The sequence below is a fragment of the Homo sapiens genome, chromosome 6 (assembly GCF_000001405.40).
Source record: "Homo sapiens chromosome 6, GRCh38.p14 Primary Assembly".
Taxonomy (NCBI): Eukaryota; Metazoa; Chordata; class Mammalia; order Primates; family Hominidae; genus Homo; species Homo sapiens.
Genome location: NC_000006.12, coordinates 150,892,146 through 150,918,309, shown reverse-complemented (window position 1 = coordinate 150,918,309; position 26,164 = coordinate 150,892,146). Strand labels below are relative to the sequence as shown.

Genomic DNA, 26,164 nt, shown 5'->3' with positions numbered 1-26,164 from the left:
AGGTGGATCACCTGAGGTCAGTTCAAGACCAGCCTGGCCAACATGGCAAAACCCCATCTCTACTAAAAATATAAAAATCAGCTGGACATGGTGGCGTGTACCCGTAGTCCCAGCTACTTGGGAGGCTGAGGCAGGAGAATCGCTTGAAGCTGGAAGGTGGAGGTTGCAGTGAGCCAAGATCACGCCACTGCACTGCAACCTGGGCGACATAGCAAGATTCCATCTCAAAAAAAAAAAAAAAAAAAGGCCATCTAAGCTATTAACCTGGGATAAATGGATTTAAAAAATGTAATGAAGCACATCATGTGCTTTCAAAATCATATCTCACACTGAGCCAGGAAGAAACATCTAGGCACACCATCTCTTCACACGAGCCCAAGTATTCTGATTTTTAAATTATGGCATAATTAGAGATAGAAATAATAGCTCAAGAGAATTCATAGCGAACATTTAAAACATGTGGATGCAACATAGACTGCAGATTAGGCCACAGAATTCAGAGTCAGACTTGCATTAAAAGCATACCTCTTCCTCTTGCTAGAAATTGTGATGTTGGGCCTGTTAATTAATGTGAGTAATATCAACCTCCTAAAATTTTGTGAAAATGAAATATGATAAGGTATATAAAGTTCTTGGCATATAGTATGTAGTTTAAACTATTAACATGAAAGTAAGGCTCAGAAGAAAGGAACAGGGATATATATTCTTCCACAGCATAATCTGTCAGAATGACTTCATATCCTAACCTTTAGATTTTTTTTTGACACAGTGGGCTTCATCTTATTAGAAGGATCTAAAAAAATTTTTTTTTTTTATTTTTGAGATAGAGTCTCTCTCTGTCACCCAGGCTGGAGTGCAATGGCACGATCTCAGCTCACCGCAACCTCCACCTTATTAGCAGCTGGGATTACGGCACCTGCCAACACTCCCGGCTAATTTTTGTATTTTTAGTAGACACAGGGTTTCACCATGTTGGCCAGGCTGGTCTCAAACTCCTGGCCTCAGTGATCTGCCCACCTCGGCCTCCCAAAGTGCTGGGGTTATAGGTGCGAGCCACCATGCCTGGCCTAGAAAGCTCTAAAATCTTTACTGTACAATACATAGAAAAATAGAAGCACTTTCACTTGTGGATGCAAAGCGTGAGAAGGCAGATGAAAACACTCACAGGGTAAGACTGGTCAAAGTGTTACATGAAAGATCAGGCTTTTTTGATAATTTAAAAATTCTCTATCATAGAAGTTATAGAACCGGCCAGGCATGGTGGCTCACGCCTGTAATCCCAGCAATTTGGGAGGCCAAGCCGGGTGGATCATCTGAGGTCGGGGGTTTGAGAACAGCCTGACCAACATGGAGAAACCCCATCTCTACTAAAAATACAAAATTAGCCAGGCGTGGTGGCACATGCCTGTAATCCCAGCTACTCAGGAGGCTGAGGCAGGAGAATCGCTTGAACCGGGAGGCCGAGGTTGCAGTGAGCTGAGATCGTGCCATTGCTCTCCAGCCTGGGCAACAAGAGCAAAACTCCACCTCAAAAAAAAAAAAAAAAAAAAAAAAAAAAAAAAAAAAAAAAAAGGGATAGAATCAATTTTCCATCAAAACTAAAAAATTGCATTTTAGGGTATTAACTTTAGGGATTACCTGATTATCAACCTAGAAAGATGTTGATAAGAATTCTACTTCTGGCAGGGCATAGTGGCTCACGCCTGTAATCCCAGGACTCTAGGAGGCCGAGTAGGGTGGATCACCTGAGGTCAGGAGTTTGAGACCAGCCTGGCCAACATGGTGCAACCCCATCTCTACTAAAAATACCAAAAAAAAAAAAAAAAAAAAAAAAAAAAAAAATTAGCTGGGCGTGGTGGTGCACACCTGTGATCCCAGCTACTAGGGAGGCTGAAGCAGAGAATCGCTTGAACCTGGGAGGCGGAGATTGCGGTGAGCCGAGATCACACCACTCACTCCAGCCTGGGCAACAAGAGTGAAACTCTATCTGAAAAAAAAAAAAAAAAAAAAAAAAAAAGATTCTACCTTCCTTCCTTCATCACTTAGAAAATTTATAAAAGTAAACACACATGCTAAATACTTTAGCCTGCATCCTCCCTTAGAGAAAAGAAATATTTCTAATAGCAACATTTTTGAAGACACTATTTTCTCCTTCTTTGGATCACTCTATTCTTAAACTGTATTAGGGTGTTGGGTAATCATATAATCATATCCCTTGGGTGTTATTTAAAGATTAGCAACACTTCAGCTTTATGAATCATATTTAGGCAAAAGCCAAGAGTCTAGAGGATGAGAGAGAATTGTTGTGTTTCGTTTTAACCACTAGAGATCTGTACTTAAGATCGTGTCCACAAACGGGCCTCTCTCAATCCTCTATCTTTAAGCGATGGAGAAATGAGAAAAAGCATCCGGGTGCGGTGGCTCACGCCTGTAATCCCAGCACTTTGGGAGGCCGAGGTGGGTGGATCACTTGAGGTCAGGAGTTCAAGACCAGCCTGGCCAACAAGGTGAAACCCTGTCTCTACTAAAAATACAAAAAAAAGTTAGCCAGCTGTGGTGGCAGATGCCTGTAGTCCCACCTACTCAGAGGCTGAGGCCAGCGAATTGCTTGACCTCGGGACCCAGAGGCTGCAGTGAGCCAAGATTGTGCCACTGCACTCCACCCTGGGCAACAGAGTGAGACTTCATCTCAAAAAATCTAAAAAAGAAAAAAAGAAAAAAGAAAAAGTTACATTCCAGGAGCTGGTATCAACTTATAAATGCATATTTCCAGAATTTAATCACAAAATACCCTTGCGAGTGAAGAATATTTCACTTCCAAGTTTACAAGATAAGTCCTGGTATAGTTCAGTCACTTGCATAGCATAGAACTTAGCAAAAGTGTGGATATTTTATTTTGAAAAGCTATATGATTCCTGATACATCTAAAGTTTTCAGCAATGTGTAATCTTTTGGCTTCCCTGGGCCACACTGGAAGAAGAATTGTCTTGGGCCATAGCCACACATAAAATACACTAACACTATGATAGCTGATGAGCTAAGGAAAAAAAAAATTGCAAAAAAAATTTCGTGTTTTAAGAAAGTTTATGAATTTGTGTTGGGCTGCATTCAAAGCTATCCTGGGCTACATGCGGCCCACAGGCTGTGGTTTGGACAGGATTGGTTTAAAGCATCTTGCAAATTTCAACAAGCATAATGAGCCATGTAAGAAGATATAATTAACAAAACAAACTCTTTGAAAGTGTCTAGCTGAAGATGGTAGGTGGTACACACAACACTACCCTCTATTTCCAGTCGAAACTCCATTCAAAGTGAATAAAAGATATGTTAAAAACAAGTAAGTCCGTAAGAGTTAAAAGGGTACCATGAATGACATTTGAGAAATTTGTGGAAGAGAGAGGCAAGTAGGGTCGGATTGAGTAACCACAGGAGAGGAATTTAAAACACCCCAAAATAACAAAAGCCTGAGATAAGGAAGAGCCATTTCTTCTTCATGGACCCTGGATAAGCCCAAAGCTCACAGTCAACAAATATCGAAAGCAGGAACGCATAAAAACTAAGTCCTTGAAACACCAAAGGCTGTCCACCGGCAGCTAGGTAAGGTGACTTTATTCACATACAGTGTTGCTTTCTGATTATTACTGTTATTATTTACAGAGGGTCTTGCTCTGTTGCCCAGGCTGGAGTGCAGTGATGTGATCACGATCATTGCAGCCTTGACCTCCCAGGCTCAAGCAATCCGTCCACCTCAGCCTCCTGAGTAGTTGGGATTGCAAGGGTGTGCCACCACACCTGGCACATTGTTAAGTTGTTTTATAGAGACGGGGTCTCACTATGTTGCCCAAGCTGGTCTTGAGCTCCTGGACTCAGGCAATCCTCCTGCCTTGGCCTTCTGATTTTTACGTACAGTAGGCTAAGGTTTACTACCTGCAAAATTAACTTTTGGTCCTTTTAATTACTGTTTTTTAATTACAAGCAATTAAAATTACAAGTAATTAAAAACACTTTTTTTTGAGATAAGGTCTGGCCCGATCACCCAGGCTGGAGTACAGTGGCACCATCTCAGCTCCCTGTAACCCCCGCCTCCCAGGCTCAAGCCATCTTCCCACCTCAGCCTCCCAAGTAGCTGGGACTACAGGCGCATGCCACAATGCCTGGCTAATTTTTGTTTTTTGTTTTTGAGACGGACTGTTGCTCTGTCGCCCAGGCTGGAGTGCAGTGGTGCGATCTTGGCTCACTGCAGCCTCCGCCTCCTGGGTTCAAGGGACTCTTCTGCCTCTGCCTCCCATGTAGCTGGGACTACAGGCATGTGCCACCACGCCTGGTTAGTTTTTGTATTTTTTTAGTAGAGGCAGGGTTTCACCACGGCCAGGCTGGTCTCAAACTCCTGACCTCAGATGATCCACCAGCCTTGGCCTCCCAAAGTGCTAGGATTACAGGCATGAGCCACAGCACCTGGGCTTAATTTTTGTATTTTTTGTAGAGGCAGAGTTTCACTATGTTGCCCAGGCTGGTCTCGAACTCGTGAGCTCAAGCAATCAGCCCACTTAGGCCCCCCAAAGTGCTGGGATTACAAGTGTGAGCCACCAGACTCGACCAAAAACAACACAATTTTAAGACACAACTTAAAACCCACACTCTCTTAATTATATATAACTCTAGCCTGCACTCAGATTTTCTAATTCAGTTTTAAGACTGCATTCAGGCTGGGCGCAGTAGCTCACACCTGTAATCCCAGCACTTTCAGAGGCCAAGGCAGGAGGATTGCTTAAGTCCAGGAGTTCGAGAGCAGCCTGAGCAACCTGGTGAAACCTCGTCTCTAGAAAAGGTACAAAAATCAGTTGGGACTGGGCGCGGTGGCTCACGCCTGTAATCCCAGCACTTTGGGAGGCCGAGTCGGGCGGATGACCAGGTCAGGAGATCGAGACCATCCTGGCTAACACGGTGAAACCCCGTCTCTACTAAAAATACAAAAAAAAAAACTAGCCGGGCGTGGTGGCGGGCGCCTTTAGTCCCAGATACTCGGGAGGCTGAAGCAGGAGAATGGCGTGAACCCGGGAGGCGGAGCTTGCAGTGAGCCGAGCTCATGCCACTGCACTCCAGCCTGGGGGAGGGAGCGAGACTCTGCCTCAAAAAAAAAAATTAGTTGGGCATGGTGGCATATGTCTGTAGTCCCAGCTACCTGGGGGCTGGGGCAGGAGGATCGCTTGAGCTCAGGATGCAGTGGGCCTGCAGTTGCGCCACTGCATTCCTGCCTGGATGACAGAGCGAGACTCTGTCTCAAAAAATAAAAATAAAAAAAATAAAAATAAGTTCTGAATCCAGAGAATCTCAAGCAATTAAGACTGGCAACTCAGAATCAGACATACATTTTTAATAAATTTCATGGCTAAAGAAAATTAAGAAAGGGAATCATTATTTCACCCCCTGCCCGTGTAGGGGCAGGACTCCATTGGGAGGTTGTCTACGATCTGGGCCTGGGTAATATCCTGGGATCACAGTCCAACGAGGATCTCATCCGAAACCGTGGACGGGTCTTTTCACTTCCCACTAAACACTCTCATCTAACTCATGATTTCTCCAGGGACAAGTCAATGAATCACTTTAAAAGATGGCCATTCTTCTAATGATAATCAAACTTTCTGCAAAAAGAAAATTTAAGGCCAAAGTGTTATCATGCCTTCCTCAGAAATCAGAACCACCCTTTCACTAATATGAGCAGTGCAGAGACCACCCTGGGAACTTTGCCAGAACAATCACTGCAGTGGGAGGGATGCAGGAAAATTCTTCAGCCTTCATGCCATCTCGGCTCTGCGGAAACATCTCAGCTTCTATGCAGTCTGGCCAAGGGCATCCTTCTTATCAAAAAAGCATTCTCCAAGCCCACAGACTTAAATATTTTCTCGCCATCTAGGAGAACAAATTATCCCCAAAATGTATGCGAGGTTTTAAAATCAGGAATGGCTAAAAATTAGAAATCAGTACAGGTAGAACTTGAAAAAAAAAAACAAAAACACTGGTAGCCAGTTTTTCAGTTAAATATATTGACTTTGTAGGATATAAAGTAAAATGCAATAAATAAAATGAGTATCATGATATGGTTTGGTTCTGTGTCTCCACCAAATCTCATGTTCAATTGTAATCCCCAGTGTTGGGGGTGGGGCCTGGTGGGAGGTGACAGGATCATGGGGGTGGCCCTTCATGAAAGGCTTAGCGCCATCCCATTGGTGCTGTTCTCATGATAGTGAGTGAGTTATCCTGAGATCTGGTTTTTAAAAGTATGTAGTATGCACCTCCTCCTCTGATATGGTTTGGCTGTGTCCCCACCCAAATCTCATCTTGAATTGTACTCCCATAATTCCCACGTGTTGTAGGAGGGACCCAGTGGGAGATAATTTGAATCATGGGGGTGGTTTTCCCCATACTCTTCTCATGGTAGTAAATACGTCTCATGAGATCAGATGGTTTTATCAGGGGTTTCCGCTTTTGCATCTTCCTGATTTTCTCTTGCTGCTGCCATGTAAGAAGTGCTTTTCACCTCCCGCCATGATTTTGAGGCCTCCCCAGCCATGTGGAACTGTAAGTCCAATTAAACCTCTTTTTCTTCCCCGTCTCGTGTATGTCTTTATCAGCAGTGCGAAAATGGACTAATACGCCCTCCCTCTCTCTTGCTCCTGCTCTGGCCATGTAAGATATATGTGATTCCCCTTCCCCTTCTACTATAATTGTAAGTTTCCTGAGGCCTTCCAGAAGGCCTTCCAAGCAAATGCCAGCATCATACTACCTGTACAGTCCGTGGAAGTGTGAGACAATTAAACTTCTTTTCTTTATAAATTACCCAGTCTCAGGTATTTCTTTATAGCAGTGTGAGAATGGACTAATACATATCATTTGGTAAAATTTTTGTGACAGTGTTCTTGAGAGTTGCAATCCTAGTTTAAATTATTTGAATTCTTACTGTCAAATGACAGCATATCACTAGTTTTTAAAAGAATGCAATGTAAGACATGATTAAAAAAATTAAAATATTAGTAAACTGATACTAATAAGCTATTAGTAATAACTTAATTTGGACCACTGAAACCAAATTAACAAGGAAATTTATACAGTGCTGCATATTCTAAATGACATGAACCTTTACTTTTTTTAAAAAAAGCAAAATATTAAATACATTGTATTGAGAACTAATTAAAATTTGAAATGGAAAACTGGCAATATACTTCAGGGATAGATCTAGAATATCCAGAATTTACAGGAAAAAATAAATAAAAGAAAACAGTGATAGGTACAATGGATTTTGGAATTACTAAAGTTCAAGAGTCACAAGCAAAGATCCTAATTTTATATCAATTGCTTTGGCATAATGAAAATTACACGGATGTCCAATTTCTCTAAAGCTGACTTTTCTTACATGTTCAGAATTTCATTGGACTTCTTCCTTTCTTGGGTTTGATTTTTCAAATATAAATGTATATTGTGCCAAGATGGAGTCTGAAAGCTGTTTTGTGTGCAGGTGACATGGCAACAAGGAAGTGGAGGGAGGAATGCAGGAAGTGGACCAGCATTTATTGGCAGCTACCATCAAAGAGGCACTGCCCCGAGGTATCATCTCAGTCATTCCTCCCAACAGCCTTGCTCCCAATTTACCCACAAAGAAATTGGGAATCTTATTAATTAATCAGAGAGCTTATTTCCTCAAAGTCACACAGCCTGTAAGTGCAATGCAATTAAGAATTTCTTTTTTTTTTTTTTTTGAGATGGAGTTTCGCTCTTGGTGCCCAGGCTGGAGCGCGATCTCAGCTCACCGTAACCTCCACCTCCTGGGTTCAAGCGATTCTCCTGCCTCAGCCTCCTGAGTAGCTGGGATTACAGGCATGCGCCACCATGCCCGGCTAATTTTGTATTTTTAGTAGAGATGGGGTTTCTCCACGTTGGTCAGGCTGGTCTCGAACTCCCCACCGCAGGTGATCCGCCTGCCTCAGCCTCCCAAAGTGCTAGGATTACAGGCGTGAGCCACCGCATCCGGCCAAGAATTTTTTTTACAAAAACAGCTCCCTTGTCCTTGAGTTAGGTTAATCCTGACTCCAAAGTCCATGTTCTTTCCACTACATTTTTTTTTTAATTTTTTGAGATGGAGCTTTGCTCTTGCTGCCCAGGCTGGAGTGCAATGGCGTGATCTCGGCTCACTGCAACCTCTGCCTCTTGGATTCAAGCGATTCTCCTGCCCCAGCCTCCCAAGTAGCTGGGATTACAGGTGCCTGCCACCATGCCCGGCTAACTTTTGTATTTTTAATAGAGATGAGGTTTCACTATGTTGCTCAGGCTGGTCTCGAACTCCTGACTTCAAGTGATCCACTGGCCTCGGCCTCCCAAAGTGCTGGGATTACAGGCATGAGCCACACCACGCCCAGCCTCCAGTAAGTTCTAATGTCTCCCTTCAGAGCCATACGAGAGAAAGTCTCAAGGTCCCTCGGGACCCCCAGCACATCAGCATCCCAGGGCTCTTCCCCTCTTCCACACTAAATAGAATTACATTAGCTTAAAATGATGCTATAAATTACTCTGAGCCACAGAGTTGCTGTTTTGATACTGTTTTCTGAGCCTAAGACGGAAGACCAGCTTCTCCTTGGTCCCATTTGTTACATCAGTAAATAAGTCCTAATATTTAGGGTACAAAATGATTTTGCTTATGATGAAATCTGCTGTTTAGCAAGCAGGGCACTACAAGAGCAGTGCGTAGTTTTTTCATTTGAAATAATTTTTTTAGGCCAGACATGGTGGTTTACACCAGTAATCTCAGCACTTTTTGGAGGTGGAGGCGGGAGGACTATTTGAGGCCGGGAGTTCAAGACCAGCCTGGGCAACACAGTGAGAACCCTGCCTCAACAACAACAAAAAAAATTGTTTTAATTAGCTGAGGAGGGAGGATTGCTGGAGCCCAGGAGTTTGAGGCTGTGATCGTGCCACTGTACTCTAGCCTGGGCAACAGAGCAAGACTTTTTCTAAGAAATAGGTTTTTTTGGTTGTCTTTTTTTTTTTTTTTAAAGTAGTTACTCTTACAGCTAGAAAACAGAATGTTGAAATTTCCTTGTTTTAAAATCTAAACATTGGACTCATGCAATAGTAGAGTGAACAGAACCAACTAGCTGGGTATAATTGTTTTCTGAGCTCTGTGTCTGGGATATTAGCCATCAGGAAAATCTCTCCTAGGATTACGTATTCCATAAAATGTCTCTACAGAATTGCCTCATCATAAATCACAACATCCCATCTATTTTTACGGGGGTAAGGAGGAGGGACTCTGTACCATGAAGGTAAGAATAAAAATTTCATTATAAAACTCTGTCTTCACCCAGCCACAAGTTTATTAAAAGTTCTTCTCATCTTAAGTTTAAATAAGAGCTCTTTTCTTTTTAATATTTCAAAAAGTTTATTCATTTCTTTACAGTAGTGGGATTATGAAAAAAAGAGGGGAAAAAAAACCTTTCTCCATTATTCCTAGATCAAATTTTCATACTAAACAAAGTTGCTAAAATTAAAACTTGTAGACTATTTAGAAATGTGCTATTATGGGTAGCACCACCCCGAAACTGTTCATCTGTTTCATCAACATAGCATTCCTCATCTTTATCTCAATGACTGCCTAGTTGAGCCCATTTTTTTTTCTTTTCTTTTTTTTTGAGAAAAAAAAAAAAGCTCTTGTCATCCAGGCTGGAGTGCAATGGTGCAATCTCGGCTCACTGCAACCTCCACCTCCTGGGTTCAAGCCATTCTCCTGCCTCAGCTTCCCGAGTAGCTGGTATTACAGGCACCTGCCACCAAGCCCAGCTAATTTTTTTGTATTTTTAATAGAGACAAGAGTTTCACCATGTTGGCCAGGCTAGGTCTCAAACTCCCGACCTCAGGTGATCCACCTGCCTCGGCCTCCCAAAGTGTTAGGATTACAGGCGTGAGCCACTGTGCCTGGCCATCAGCCCCATCTTTAAGTGGGAGACAAATTCAAGGAAATGTTTCTAAACATGCCACTAACTTAAAACTACAAGCAGAGTAGAATTTTGATTCATGCTTATTAACTTGTCAAACACTCAATATTCACAGAGTTAGCCAGGCCCAGTGGCTCATGCCCGTAATCCTAGCACTCTGGGAGGCCGAGGTGGGTGGATCACTTGAGGTCAGGAGTTCGAAACCAACCTGGCAAACATGGTGCATCCACACTTCTACTAAAAATACAAAAAAAAAAAAAAATTGGCCAGGCGTGGTGACAGGGACCTGTAATCCTAGCTACTTGGGAGGCTGAGGTAGGAGAATCACCTGAACCCAGAAGGTGGAGGTTGCAGTGAGCCAAGATCACACCCACTGCACTAAAGCCAGGGTGACAGAGCAAGACTCTGTCTCCAAAAAAAAAAAAAAAATTTCACAGAGCGGTTACTAAGCGTCAGGTACTATTCTGGACACTGGGCATTCAAAAACCAACAAGAAAACTATTACAGTTGGGCCAGATAAATTTCAAATAAATTCTACTTATAGAATCATTTTGAAATACACAGACCATCCCTGATTTACAACCTTTTCACTTACTATTTTTCCACTTTATGATGGTGGGAAAGGGACATGCATTCAGTAGAAACTGTGCTTTAAATTTTGATCTTTTCCCAGGCCAGCTATACAAAGAACAAGGCTGTCTTGAGGCGCTGGGCAGCAGTGACAGCAAATCGTGGTTTCCGGTCAGCCATGCAATCACGAGGCCAAACAACCAATACTCTACAGCGTACTGTGCTGCCAGCATTTTTGGACGTTGTTTTCTGTTTTCACATCCCATCCTGGCTACAAATGCCCATTTTTTACTAATGATATTTTCAACTTCTGATGGGTTTATCTGTGCATAACCCCATGGTCAGTCGAGGAACATCTGTAACGCCTTGGTCTTTTTTTCCCCCAGAGAATCATTACATTGATATCTAATATTTCAGGGAATACTTTTTTTCAAAAATAAGGGTCCTAAAAGGAAACCTTATTAAAAATAAAGCACTTTCACTAACAAAATATATGTCACTGTCATATAACCACAGAGCTCAAAGAGATTCCAGAACATCAAAGTAGACTCCTATCTCCAGCCATGACTGCCAAAACTGTCCTACATGAAAACTTTAATAAAACACAGCAAGTAAATATTACAGCAAAGCAGCATTCATTTACAAGAAACAAATGTTGGAACTGATTTTCCTAATCTGACTGGGATGCTGAACAGAGGAAGCCCTGTCCACTATTAATAGGTTAGGCTTTGTTTTTTTTTTTTTTCAGGGGAAAAAAAGTTATATGAATAAATTACACATATTTTTAAAATGTTATTTAGTACATGCTTTCTGTTTGTTAAAAAGAGCCATTAGGGCCACAGCTCTTAATGCCTCTTTCCTTGGACTCTGTTCCATTCCACCCTCTCCAGCCCCCAAGGGGTTTTTAATCTGATCGGTCAATTCTGGCAGGAGCTACATTTCCTAGAGAGGAGGGTCAGTAACAACCTCTGGCTAGGGCTCATGCTTTTATGGAGCTGCCTACAAGGTTTCAAGATTTCAACCTCAAGTATGGTCCTGGTGGAGGAGAAGGAGAGCAGAGGCTGCCAACCTTGGTGCATGTTCTGCCCAGCTTTAGGGATAAAAGCTGCCCCTGTCCTCCAGCCCAGCTCAGCACAGTCCTCTCTTCCACACAAACATTTGGAGGCCAAAGCCAGAAGGAATCAGGAAGAGGGGCTCTCCTCTGCCTCCCTGTGCCATCGTCTCTGGCTCACCTGTGCTACTCAGGGACTTGCTGAGGGCCTGGGTGTGCTCCAAGGCTTTCTTAGCCTCAGTCCTTCTACGAACTGGAAAAAGGAACCCACTCTGGGCCGGCTCCTGCTGGACCCGGGGCTGCTGGCTGCCCTGTTGCGGGCACTGCTTGGGCTGCCCCCAAAGTGGGCCTGGTGTGGTCTTGAGTATTCCTGGATACCTTGGCAAAATGCCATCAAATAGCAGGACCAATCCTACAACAGTTTCTGCATCTAGTGGTGATTTTCATACTGTTCTGAGATGACTCTGGGGCTCCAAGGATGTGCTTCATGGGTCAATGCAAGAGGAAATCAGGGAGACACACAGGCTGATCCTATTCCCATCCCTCCCAACAATCCGGCGCTCATCTGCTTTTACATAGTGAGATTCCACGAAGATTTCTTTGGAAGAAAGGGTTTTACTAATTTTTAAGAAACTGTGAAAACCGCTATTTCTAGTTTACCTCACACACATACAAATCATCTACTTGAGGTCACAACTGACCTGACTGCTAGAGGCCAGTAGGGGGCACTTCACTGTGGGAGCAGACACCTCAACCGCCATCTTGGTCTCTCTTTGCTCAACAGCATGGTTCTATCAGGTAGCCCACAGTCTAAGTTTCCTACCCTATATATTAATGTTGACGACTGCTAACATTTCAGAAACATAACCTCTTAGGAAAAGGTTAACATTTCTTTGAACTATCTGACCTAATCAGTGGCTCAACACCAATGTGAAGACATTTACCTGACAGGAAGTCATGGGAGCAGTTGAGAACAGTAGTTCCTGGTTGTATCCAAGTAAGGGGAATCTCTTCTGGCTTAGGTGAGCCTAGGACCACAATGTCAGCCTCGTGAAGCTAAAAGGAGAAAGAAAAAAACACGCACATCTTGATCTGAGGCATAAAGACACAAGTAACTACTGATGTCAAATGAGTTCTACACAATCCCAGATCCACAGCTTTGTTCCAAGCTGCTGACAAGGATGGAATCGCTTTACTAATTCCTTTCAAGCATGTATTAATACAAACAGAAAATGATTATCATATCCTAGAAAGAAAAGAAAATAGGACTTAAAAAATGTCTTCAGGGTAGTCACTTCAGCATACATACTGCATGGAGTATTATCATTTACATGTTTTCACCACTAACTATAATATCAAGAAAAAGGATGGGGCAGCCGGGCATAGTGGCTCACACCTGTAATCCCAGCACTTAGGGAGGCTGAGGCAGGTGGATCACGAGGTCAGGAGTTCGAGACCAGACTGGCCAACATGGTAAAACCCTGTCTCTACTAAAAATACAAAAATTAGCCAGGCGTGCTGGTGGGGGCCTGTAATCTCAGCTACTCAGGAGGCTACAGCACGAGAATCACTTGAACCCAGGAGGCAGAGGTTGCAGTGAGCCGAGATCACACCACTGCACTCCAACAACAGAGCGAGACCCTGTCTCAAAAAAAAAAAAAAAAAAAAAGAGGAAAACAAGGGCTAAGGCCATGAGGTCTGGCTCACACAGGGGGCTTGCTGGCCTGTATAATGGCACCATCACAATGAGACCCCTATAGAACTGTTACTATACCCATGAAAGGACTTTCAGGAGCTTGAGAAAGAATTTCACTTTCTTTGAGGCCTTGGTTAGTCTCTTGTCCAACCATTCATTTTTTTGCCCTAAGAAAGTAGAAAGAATGCAACCACTCCAACAAAATGCATTGATCGTGTCCATCCTATTTGCATTTTGATCATCCAGTGCGGGAGGAACATGTCTGGTAGGAAGTTGACATTAAGACAAAAAGGTAGGCAAAGAGGTTGGCTTTGACTTTAACCAAAGAATGACCAGCTAGCTCCCCAGGCCCTACTGAGCAACTGATGATTTCAAACTGGATCCCTATGCAGAGGGAGGGGTGAATAGGAATATTAGACTTGCAGAAGAGAATAGCTATAATTGTACAGGTCAGCTAGATGTTGTAAGTATTACACCATTGAATATTCCAAAGGAGTGAGATTGGTGTTACTATGCTCATTTAACAGACTAGGAAACTGGGGCTCTCAAGACATAAACAGCTCTACGGTATGTCCTGTGTCTCCTAGTGAATTCAGTCTTAGAGATTCTAGTGAACCTAGGCAGCAAGAGGGCGACTGATGGTCTCTTCCCCCACTGTCTTTCCTGCGTATTTTGATGTCCTGCAACTAACCACAGAGTCTCTGGGGTCAAACAGACAGAGGGGCAGATTACAACACACAAAAGCATCCCCAGTGTCACTACCCCCACCAAACCACCAAATAAACGTGTTGGGGACACCCTTATCCATTCTCAGCTTAGACAGGCTGATCATTAAAGATCCTGTAGAAGAACCAGGACAGCTCCTCAGCCTGAGGACTTTTAACACTATTTGGGCAAAAGGGTGCATCAGGTGATGCCTTTTAGAAATCTTGGGACAAGAGATGGTAATGGGAGCAAACCCATGACAGTCCTACCTGGTTTATGAACAGAAAAGCCAAGATCAAGGACAGATCCAAGTCCCCTGACAGAGGAGGAGCACGATAAAAATGTAAATGCATGTCTTTTCATAGAGCTGACAAAGTCAACTTTTAAAAGCTAATACCTTGGAAATATTTGATCAATTTGACCATGTAAATAGGGAAAAGTGTATTAACACTGATTGATTATCCATTAATAAGCCAAACAGTATTCCCTGCTTTTCAGCTTCTGGCTGTATGAATCTACTGTATTAATCATCTTCAAAAGAAAAGAGAAAGCCCTACTAAAACCTTTGCCGAGGCCAGACCTGTTGGCTCATGCTGCCATGCTGGGTAATCCCAGCACTTTGGGAGGCCAGGGTGGGAAGACTGCTTGAGCCCAAAAGTTTGAGAACAGCTTGGGCAACATAGTAAGGCCCTGTCTCTACAAAAATAAAATAAAATAAAAATTAGCCAGGTGTGGTGAGGCATGCCTGTGGTCCTAGCTACTTGGGAGGTTGAGGTGGAAGGATCGCTTGAGCCCAGGAGGTCATGGCTGCAGTGAGCTGTGATCGAGCCACTTCACTCCAGCCTGGGCAACAGGGCAAGACCCTGTCTCAAAAACAAAACAAAATCAAAAGCAAAACACATTTGCTAAATAACCATTCTTCTGTGCCACAGGGCCAAAATACCACTAAACCTCACTAAGAACTTTGCAGCCAAATGAGAATCACTTGAACCTGGGAGGCAGAGGTTGCAGTGAAGCCAAGATTGCACCACTGCACTCCAGCCTGGGCGATGGAGCAAGACTCTGTCTCAAAAAAAAAAAAAAAAAAAAAAAAAAAAAAAATTTTGCAGCCAATATCACCAGCAATCTAGTCCCTTAAGCCACCTATGATCTCTACAGATCTGAAAAACAGCTAGAGTTCCAGGTAATAGTATATTTAGGGAGAAAGAAATGTTCTAGTGGAAAGAGGATTTTAAACATCTGTATAAAAAATTTTATTTCTTCATTTATATATAGTACTGTCAAAAATTCAACCACAGTAATCCTCAAGAGAAATACAAATGTTTAAGCTTTGTCGCAGTTCTGCAGATAAGAAACGCCATTTTGCTAGATTTTCAGGCAGAATAGCAGCAAAACCAGAACACGGTAAAACAACTGTAAAAAGGAGGTTAATATGAACAAGGCTGAAATGTTCATTTTGGAGAAAGCCAAGGATCACAGGTTCACACAAGTCCCCTAAGAACAGTTAGTTTCCTACACGTGGTGTCTTTGATACAACCTGTTCTTTTCATTACCTATAAATCTTGGAAATCTCATTCCGACCCCTCAACTCCATACCTACACACAACTCTAAAGTGGGCTGTGCTCATCTGCAACTGGAGAACAGCTAATTCCACAGAGAAAACACAAAAACCTCCTCCCTTAGCAATGATTGCATCATAGATGTTAATTCTTTCTGGAAAGGAAAAGTGCTAGATGCTTAAATCAGTAAATAGCCTGCCCAGGACAAGGGAAGATTTTAATGAGCTAAAATTCAAGGAAAATTATCATCTCACTTGTTCCTATTTTCCTCCTCCCAAATGGGAGAGACCCTGGCCAAAGCTTGGCTTAAAACTCTATCTCATAACAAATTATTGCTTTCTCTGCTGAGACTTGAGTGGAGCAGCTTAAAGCAAACCACCCCACTCCCCAGGCAGACAAGTGAATTTTAAACAACAGTAAGACACAGATATGCAGACACTTAACAGGGAGCGTGTGGGGGTGCAGTAGTTTAGATAACATGAAGACGAATTTTCTCAAAGTCATGAATTTTTAAGCTGGAGGGACAAGCATCTGAATATAAAGAGATGGGGGAAAGGGAGGACAGATGAGATTTGGAAAGTTATACAGAATATTATAATTTTGTATTTAGCAAATAAAATGCATTAAAATGTTTTAAACTAAATACAGCGCTACCCTCTTGACTAGAAGACAGTATGTATCTTCTGCTATCAATGTGTTTTGAAACAGTTCATATCATATGAGAATCTGAGGTATGAGATCTGTATATATTTCAAAATCCAGAATGGGTAAAAAAAAAAAGATATTTTCTAAAGAATTGTGGTTTATATCACTTGAGACCTATGAAAACTGTTTCTATGTCCTTCAAATGTTACCAACACAGTTCAGAAAACCAAGTTAAATTCCTCATGAGGGTCAGCTGAATAAAAAAGAAAGAAAACAATGTTCAAAATGATGAACATTACTTTAAAAAATTAACAGGTAGGTTCTTTGTCCAGCAAGGATGTGCTTCTGAAATTACAATAACTAAAGACATTGGCATTCTCAACTAGTGCCTGAGTGATGGCCAGTCAATGGTCAGACACAGAGAACAGAGCAGGGTCTGGAGGGCAGGGAGGGGGCTCTACCACACTGAGGTGGTCCCTTGCTTGATTTTCACTCTCAATGAACTGGGACACACTGTAGTTTATGTAGTTTATGTGCGCCCAGTTAAGTGGCTTTATGGGTTACATTATGCTCCACGGCAGATTCTTCACAAGGCTTTATTTAATTAATTTATTTATTTTTGGAGACGGGGTCTCACTCTGTCCTCTAGGCTGGAATGCAGTGGCACTGCAGTCTCAGCTCACTGCAGCCCTGACTTCTGGGCTTAAGCGATCCTCCTACCTCAGCCTCTAAGTAGCTGGGACTATAGATGTGCTTCACCATGCTCAGTTCATTTTGTTTTTTAAATATTTTTTGTAGAGACAGGGTTTCACCATGTTGCCCAGGCTGGTCTTGAATTCCTGGGCTCAAGTGATCTGCCCGCCTGGGCCTTCCAAAGTGTTGGGATTACAGGCGTGAGCCACTGTGCCACATGCTTTATGATCAGACAGGGCATGTCCATGAAAATCTTAGGTAGTAAGGGGACTCCTAGACTACCTTGTGGCAAAGTTTCTATAAAGAGTTAGATGTCACTTTTCTAAGAAAAACATCACTTTTCTCAGATGTCAAAATGTGTGCACTTTTTCTTTTCTTTTCTTTTTTTTTTTTGAGACGAGTCTCACTCTGTCGTCCAGGCTGGAGTGCAGTGGCGCGATCCCGGCTCACTGCAAGCTCCGCCTCCTGGGTTCATGCCATTCTCCTGCCTCAGCCTCCCGAGTAGCTGGGACTACAGGCACCTGCCACCATGCCCGGCTAATTTTTTGTATTTTCAGTAGAGACAGGGTTTCACCATGTTATCCAGGATGGTCTCGATCTCCTGACCTCGTGATCTGCCCGCCTCAGCCTCCCAAAGAGCTGGGATTACAGGCGTGAGCCACCGCGCCCGGCCGCACTTTTTCTTAATATAGAAAAGAAGCTGTCAGGTTGGGCTACAGTATGTGGCTCACACAGTCAGATGTGTTTTAGGAAGATTCCTCTGGAAGCTGGATTGAGAATGCCTTAGAAGGGGTAGGAGGAAAAGCAAGATACTGAGATCTCCTGGAGGAGGCGTCTGCAGGAAGCTGGGGGCCCGGGTCTGGAACTGAGAATGGCCTGGGAGCATGCGGATGCGGGTCGGGACACACAGCATTTAGGTGATGGTTAAAACCAGAAGTGTGGATTCCCCAGGGGAAACTGGCAGAATGGGAAGGAAAGCAGGTTAACAGACATCCTTGGGGAGCACTAATCTTAAATGGTTAGAGATAACGAACAGATGATGGAGACCACCATGTCCTGGTGGCTCAGGAGCTACGAAGGGCAGGAAGGGGCATTTTCATTCAGGCTAAGGGAAAAGGGTGTGGCCAACAGGTTTATATGACAGCTGTGGTCAAGCAAGATAAAAGCAAAAAATACACTTTTGGCAATTAGGAACTACCGGTGACTCACTTTTGGCAATTAGGAACTACTGGTGACTTTGCTACAGAAATGGGCATTAGGAACCATGCCTAATACAGTCCTGCCATTACTGTAGACTGTGTTGCCTGCAAATGGAGATTTCATTCAGGCAGACTGTTTCATAAGCAGATGCCTTGTTTATTCATTTATATATATAAAAATATAAATATATAATATATAATATAATATAAAAAATATATATATATCTATTTTTTTTTGAGATGGAATCTCACTCTGTGGCCCAGGCTGGAGTGCAGTGGTGCAATCTCAGCTCGCTGCAACCTCTGCCTCCTGGGTTCAACGATTCTCCTGTCTCAGCCTCCTGAGTAGCTAGGATTACAGGCGCATGCCACCACACCCAGCTAATTTTTGTATTTTTAGTAGAGATGGAGTTTCCCCATGTTGGTCAGGCTGGTCTCACACTCCTGACCTCATGATCCGCCTGCCTCGGCCTCCCAAAGTGCTGGGATTACAGGCGTGAGCCACTGCACCCAGCCTATGCATTAATTTTTTTTAACTCTGAATGTCTAACTTTGTATTTGAAATTAAATGAACATTGATCATAAGAGTATTGCTTTGTAGCTATGAATCTGTATCTACCTTTCCCCTGCAGTATTAAAACATATCATTAAATAGGAATGTTAAAATAATAGTATAACTACTCTAAACTAAGAACATCAAACCATCTTCATTCAGATGTTGTCGTACTTTGGCAAGATAAGGGGATGACAATTGCAGCAAAAGGTATTTTACCCACTTCACGTCCACCCAGTGATCTCATCCTGGGAGAATTTTTTTCCTTTCAGGAATTGGGTGTGTTTCTTTTATTTCTACTCTCATCTGTGATTAGTAGAACAAATTATTGGCTTTTAAAATTTGAAGACATTTCTTATGATTATTTCATAAATCAAAATGACTACAAGCCAAATGGACATCTGGGAATTAGGATTACAGCATTTTTCTACCAAACTTTTCCCCTGAAAAATAATAAATGACCTTCCTTTTTCTAAATGTTCCTAAGTTCACCTCTGACTTCACCATTCAACTTAATTTACTGCTCAACATATGAGAAGAAAATATCAAAGATATTTAGTTGTGTCCAAAATGCTAGAAAAGACAATTCCTCTGGAAGTAAGCTTCACACTTAAAAAAGTCATGACAGATGATAAAAGGAAAAATGCAGCACCATTCTGGGAATGGATATACTTTAATGACTCATCAAAAATAATTCCCTTTCACAGGAGAATCACTTCAACCTGGGAGGCAGAGCTTGCAGTGAGCCTAGATCACGCGCCTGCACTCCAGCCTGGTGACAGAACGAGACTCCGTCTGAAAAAGAAAATAATAATAATAATAATAATCTTCCCTATACTTTAGGAAAAACATAAAATTCAAACGTGGGGCTAAGAAAGAGAATGTGTATGTAGATGGGGGGTGGTAACAGGAAGCTTCCTTCACATGACAAAGACTTAGAACCAAAATACCTCATTTTGGTTCCTTTAGTACAAAATTAAGGAAATGCTCAAGTTGCAGTTCTCAGGGCAACACCAGGCAAGTCAGGCTCCTAGACGAACAGCAGCCCCGAGGATTTATGCTCATGCTGCAGCCACAAACTTTCATCCATACAGCGTCTTCATATTCATGCAAACTGCCGTTGCAGGGGAAAATTCTGCTTTGCATTTCCTGACATTTATGGTTTTCAGTTCTGAGCCTCACATTGCACACAGACAGATTTCTGCATTCCGTTTCCTTTGAGAAACTCTCCAGGCTTCCGCTGCCTCCTTTGAAAAGTGAGGAATTGAGGTGCAGTGGGGAGAGCACCATGAGTGGAGTCCTGCGACCTGCGTTCAAGTCCAGACACTGCTCCTTGCCAGTGACAATCAGGGTCAAGGCTCTCTGGTGAGTATAACATCCAGTTTGCAGGGTTGCTGGGTGAGTGCGAGGCATATATGAAAAGCCATGAAAAGGAAATCTCCACACACTTATAAGGTGCTTCATTGTTATAGGTTATGTTTAAGACGTTCCCATTAAAAGATTCTAATACTGGCCAGGCGCGGTGGCTCATGCCTGTAATCCCTGCACTTTGGGAGGCCGAGGTGGGTGGATCACCTGAGGTCAGGAGTTCGAGACCAGCCTGACCAACATGGAGAAACTCTGTCCCTACTAAAAATACAAAATTAGCTGGGCGTGGTGGCGCATGCTTGTAATCCCAGCTACTCAGGAGGCTGAGGCAGGAGAATCATTTGAACCTGGGAGGCGGAGACTGCGGTGAGCTGAGATTGCACCATTGCACTCCAGCCTGGGCGAGAAGAGCAAAACTCTGTCTCAAAAAAATTTTTTTTTTAAATTCTAATTCCACGACCTTAAAAAGCATTCACATTGGAGAGGGGGTGGAAAAGGAAGCCAGACTCTGCTGATAGTGCAGAAAAGCAAATGGGAGATGACCTGCTGCCAGTGGGCTGAAGGTGATGCTTCCTGCCTGTTCTTTGTGGGACACAGGCCTGCAGCCCTTCTTCCAGAATTGGGGTAGGCTCTCTTTTGTGCAGTATACACTTCACTGGCCCCTGATGACCACAAAGATTTATTTGTGGTTGGCCACAGGTGACTACAAAGTAACACAAGCGTCATGGAGGCTGAAACTTACCCCACAGCTAAGAAGTGCATTAAAGCTCCAGATGAAGTTTCCCACAGAAAAATCGGAAAGCAAGTCAATATGATTCTACTGCAGTGGAACTGGCTTCGCAATCCCATGACCCTAACACCATTTATACTATTATATCTATGAGAAAATACATTCCATGTTCAGACCAACCTTCAAACATTTAGAACATAATCCAATGAGACTGAAATTAGAATATTTTGCCTAATAAGGTACAGGAAGGGCATCATAAAAGGGAGGTAATGTTGGGAAAACTGGAGATAGATGGTGTTTTAATTATGTTTTTACTCACATATTTGATATAACGACAATACATCATTTCTTCTCAATCTTAATTTCTCAGCTTAAATTCTGAGCCACCTAAGACCAATCAGTCTGTTAATTACATGCCCCCACCCCAACCGGCTTTTTTTTAGATGGAGTCTCACTCTATTGCCCAGGCTGGAGTGCAGTGGCGCGATCTCGGCTCACTGCAAGCTCCACCTCCCGGGTTCATGCTATTCTTCTGCCTCAGCCTCCCGAGTAGCAGAGACTTCAGGTGCCTGCCACCACACCCTGCTAATTTTGTTTTTGTATTTTTTTTTTTAGTAGAGACAGGGTTTCACCGTGTTAGCCAGGATGGTCTCGATTCCTGACCTCATGATCCACCTGCCTCGGCCTCCCAAAGTGCTGGGGTTACAGGTGTGAGCCACCGCGCCCGCCACACAGCCCCTTCTTGGTCTCATGCCCATTAGTTTGAATATATCGTCTCACAAATCCTTCCCTCAACACTGCTAAGTATAATGAATGGCATAAAGTCTAATAAAGTTTTTTTGGCTCTCTAAAAAGTTCTATTCACTTTCTTCCTTGGTATTAACAAACAGAGCAATGATCAGACAGAAGCAAGAGGGGAAAGTGGTGAGCTGACCCCCTAAATCTGTCAAACAAAGCTCAGGGGCCAACACTATTCAGTGCACTTAATTCCACACTACTGATGACCTGGGCTACTGATGACCTCAGCCACTCGCTAAGTACAAGGCTGTGATGCCCAGGAGGGTCCAGTGCTTTTTTCTCCATCTCACCCACAGCAGGCAGGGGAGGGGATGAACTCACATAACTGAGGCTGTCTTGTGTGTCCATCCCTGCCCTCTCCGAAGGTGCTCACCATCCCCTCTGAAAGGGGAGCCTGGAGAGCTGATGATGAGCCCCAGGCCTCAGGGAGGGGACAGCATTCACTCTACTTCAGCTCATTAACAAGTATGGCTCTGGGATTACAAACATCAAAACAAAATAAGAGTGAATTCAACACAAGTCGAATGTCTAGGGTCTTGGTCTCTCTTATCTGAGGTGGCAGGTGCTTTTCGGTTTTCAAGATTAGAGATTAGACTTTATGTGATGATCTGGAATAAGAGCTGACATGGGACAGTGTTAAAAACACAGGCTGTTTTGCCACCTCTACCATTTTTTAATCACATGATCTTTGCAAAGTCTCCTCTCTAAGCCTCAGTCAGTTTCCTCATCTGTAATGTGGGGAGGATGACAGTCCTGCCTAACAGAATAAGTGTGAAGACCACTGAGATAACAGGAGTACAAGACAGTGCCTGGTTCAGAGTAGCCATTCTGTCAATTAACATTGTCTGTCATTACTGTCACCATAGCACATTACTGCTTTAAGTGCATTCCATCCTGTTAAAAGGAGAATTGTCATGTAACTCACTAATGTAGTGCAGTTTAAAAGCTAGAGTTCCTTCCTTCTCCCGTTTGGGACAGACATTATTCTTTTTTTAAGAAGTCATCCTTTCACATGTATAATACAAGTACATTTAGAATTTTCCAATTCACTTTTAAAAGTCTTTCATGAGCCATGCCATGCACTAAATTTAAACTGAAAAGGACTTTGTAATAGTTCAGCTTTGTTCAAAAAAAAAAAAAAAAAACCACAAAAAACCCTAGACACTTTGATCCTTCAAAGGTGAAAGACCTATATTTTTTCCTTCTGTGAATACCAGTTTTGAGGGTCTCTGTGCTCAGGAGGAGAGGGAGAAATGAGATCCTCTGAGAAAAACAAAATAAAACGGTTCTCTGATTTCTAGGTTATTTCTTCGGCATGCAGCTGAGGTTTACCTCATCTCCCAGCTGGAGACCATTTCAGCATTGTCCAGCTGTGCCCTAACCACAGGTTCAGAGGAGACTCCCGAGGGAGCAGGGCCCTGCCGTACCTGCCCACCTCTCCCTTCCGTGCAGAGGGCACCACTCCACCTTGTAAACACCAAATGCAAAACCACACCCACTTCAGACTGGTTTTGGCATCAGAGTGAAATCATCGGGGTCAGGAAGAGGTTACCTCCAAATCTAGGCTCATTCCTGAGAGTGAAACCAACAGTGTCATTCCCCTGCAGGGCCCAGGACGCTGGGTGTGGGGGCCTGCGTTTGGGTGGAGGAAAGGCGGGGGGTTCCCTAGCCCTGCCCAAAAACACTAGCTCCAGTGCCTTGGCTTCCTGACATGTGACACTCCACAGCATATGGCTAATTTGGACAAATGCCCAGGCGTTCTTCCCCTCCCCACCTCTAGGGTCTCCGTGGAAATGCTCAACGCATCTCCAAGCCTGGAAAAGATGCTCAGAAACAGAACAGGAAATTTATTCTCAATTTTCAACCGTACACCTCAACGGGCGTAAGTTACAAAGCTACCAAACACAGAAGTCTATTCTGGTTTCTGTGGAACCCTAAGAAGGTCAATTCTTCATGCTCAGGCTCCGTGGAGATTTTATACCTAATCAGCGTCCACAGAATATCCTTCCGTTTAGACAGACGGACAGAGAAAGGATCGATTTCTATTTGTAACTAACTGGATATAACCATTCTTTAAACCTACAGAGCCTGAAAGTAGTAACTGGCCCATCAGGGATCTCCAGCCGACATGTTTGGAAGTAGAGTGACTTCCAAGTAACAAGAGGCATGGGAAGGAAGAGGTCCACAGCTTTGGAGGAAGGGAGTCTGTGACATCACTTAAAGTTGATAATAATCTACTGAGGACTGGAAGATGAGCCTGACTGGCCAAAGCTGGGCACCTGCTCTGGTTAGTCCCTCCTTTCTCTGGAACGTTGTCTCATGGTAGTCTTGCTTCTGGTTTCACTCCCTTGGCCAATATTCGGCTGGGAGACCTCACAGACAGAGAGCTGGAGACACTCTCTCCTTCCCCCACCCACACAATGGAAGCATTAATACCAGGCTTCCAGTGAAGGACCCTAAGTCACGCTATTTTACTAGTATATCTACTTACGATCTGAGTGATTTGCCTAATTGACCCATATATTTCTCTTCCTCCAGCCTGCACTCCAGGTTGCAGTGCGGTGGTGCAATCTCAGCTCACTGCAACCTCGACCTCCCCAGATTCAGGTGATCATCCCACCTCAGCCTCCAAAGTACCTGGGACTACAGCCACCACGCCTGGCTAATTTTTGTACTTTTTTAGAGATGGAGTTTCGCCATGTTGCCAGGCTGGTCTCAAACTCCTGGGCTCAAGCAATCTGCCCTCCTCAGCCTCCCAAAGTGCTGGGATTACAGGCGTGAACCACTGCACCCGGCCCACATTAGCATTTAATTCCATTCCCACAACTGCCCCATAAAGTAGGGAGTATTATGATTGCCTTTCTACGCGAGGGAACAGGCTCAGAGCAGCAACAGCTAAGGCTTGAGCCCAGAGCTGTGTGTCCCCAAAGCCTATGCTCTACTGTTTAATGAGAACACAAATGTTGTGCCGGACTGGAAACCTTCAAAGGCAGTTTCTAGTGGTTGCAGCAGGCTGCCTGATAACCGGAAGGTCAGCCCACACCGGTAAGACTACCTGTAGTTTAAGAGATGGTAGATAGAACTCTAGTGTTACACAGTCACACCGATGCCCAAACCTTTCACCCTCAGCTTTGGAAATCTCTAGCCAGATGTCCCACAGCAGGTATGTGTTGAGGGGATGGGGGGGTCTTGTTCCATGTCAGGTACAAATAAGCACAACAGAAATGCCCGTCAAAGATAACGTCCTTCTACTTAGTAGCCATAATCCTAAGCTTATTCTCTTTTTTCCTTAACTCTTTTACCATTGCCAATAAGGAGAAGTTAAATAGATTATAATCTTAAAATGCACTTTTATTCTTGGTTGATTAAGCTGGGCAACAAAAATCCCCATGTGGGCCAGGCACAGTGACTCAGGCCTCTAATTCCAGCACTTTGAGAGGGCCATGTGGGTGGATCACTTGAGGTCAGGAGTTCGAGACCAGCCTGGCCAACATGGCGAAACTCCATCTCTACTAAAAATATAAAAATTAGCCAGGCATGGTGGTGCTCGCCTGTAATCCCAGCTACTCAGGTGGCTGAGGCATGAGAATCTCTTGAACCCATGAGGCAGAGGCTTTAGTGAGCCGAGATCGCGCCACTGCACTCCAGCCTGGGTAACAGAGTGAGCCTCTGTCTCAAGGGGAAAAAAATCCCTATCTGTTGTTAAAATTTTTACTTCCAGTGTTTTTCACAGTGAAGCTTTTCCAAGGGTGTGCCAGGTGTCCTGTCCTGATTGGGTGCCCCAGGACACTAACCCATGCCTAGGTGGCTTTTTGCACCACTGTGGCCTCCAGACAGCCATTGAGTGGTACAATCCACATATTACCATGTCTCCATATTACCACGACTCCAAGGAAGGCTAGAATTCCTACTCAGGAAATGAATGGCAAGGGTTTTCTGCCCCATACATTCTTCTTGTAAAAATACAACAACAGAATAGTGACAATTCAAACGTCAGGCAGACACAGGGAGGCATATGGGTTACGGGGAAGTATGTGGCTAGTGAAAGACTAGCTGCTAACATGAAAGACACAGGCTGTCATTTGTGGTGGGACAGGAGCCTGACGTAGGTAGGTAGGCCAGGTAGAGGGGGACAAGTATGGGGCGGGGCTATGAACATTTCTTCCCATATTTTTGGCTACAAAGATGAAGCAATAATAAGAATGAAAGTTGATAGCCTCTAACATTCGCAATGGTGCCACTATAAATACCAAGGACTTAGGGAAAAAAACGTGTGTGCAACATCAACTATGAAAGAGAACCTTCTGGTCCATATGAAAACAAGAATGTTACCCAATGACCAGATTCTCCAGAAAGTGAAGCCACTTAATCGTTCTCAAAGTTCAGATGAGATTCATCCCAAAGTACAGAGACAAGGTGATTTATTCCCGTAATAAAAAAGTACTTTGAAAAATGTCTTTGTTTTTCAAAAATATAGATACAACTAGCAAAAGTATCTGTGACAGCTGCGAAAACATTCAATTGCCAAGGAAGGTATTTTCTCTCTTCACCACAGCTGTTCAGTGCAGGGCACGGTTTATTTTCCTCTTCCACTGAGCTTCCAAATCAAAATT

The 26,164-nt window shown here is 43.5% G+C and overlaps 1 protein-coding gene across 36 annotated transcripts in view, besides 1 other annotated feature; it reads right to left on the bottom strand.

Annotated features, from left to right (window-relative positions):
* The window catches only part of MTHFD1L (methylenetetrahydrofolate dehydrogenase (NADP+ dependent) 1 like), a 236,186-nt gene that overhangs the window by 183,578 nt on the left and 26,444 nt on the right, over positions 1-26,164 (bottom strand). For 32 of the 36 annotated variants that reach the window (NR_146719.2, NR_146720.2, NM_001242767.2 and 29 more), the window contains exon 8: positions 12,549-12,660. Coding sequence is in view for 34 of the 36 variants with exons in the window: in NM_001242767.2 (NP_001229696.1) it covers positions 12,549-12,660 (112 nt within the window). In the remaining 2 variants the exon portion in view is untranslated. Of the gene's footprint in view, positions 1-12,548; positions 12,661-19,309; positions 19,451-26,164 lie in introns of those variants that run through there. The other 4 variants (NM_001350488.3, NM_001242769.3, NM_001350489.3 and 1 more) reach the window with 1 other exon arrangement.
* Positions 11,364-11,869: an enhancer, noted in NCBI's record as "H3K27ac-H3K4me1 hESC enhancer chr6:151227577-151228082 (GRCh37/hg19 assembly coordinates)". NCBI's record gives its function as "activates a minimal SCP1, AML or CMV promoter by ChIP-STARR-seq in primed H9 embryonic stem cells {active_cell/tissue: H9 hESC(primed)}" and the evidence as "EXISTENCE:reporter gene assay evidence [ECO:0000049][PMID:30033119]".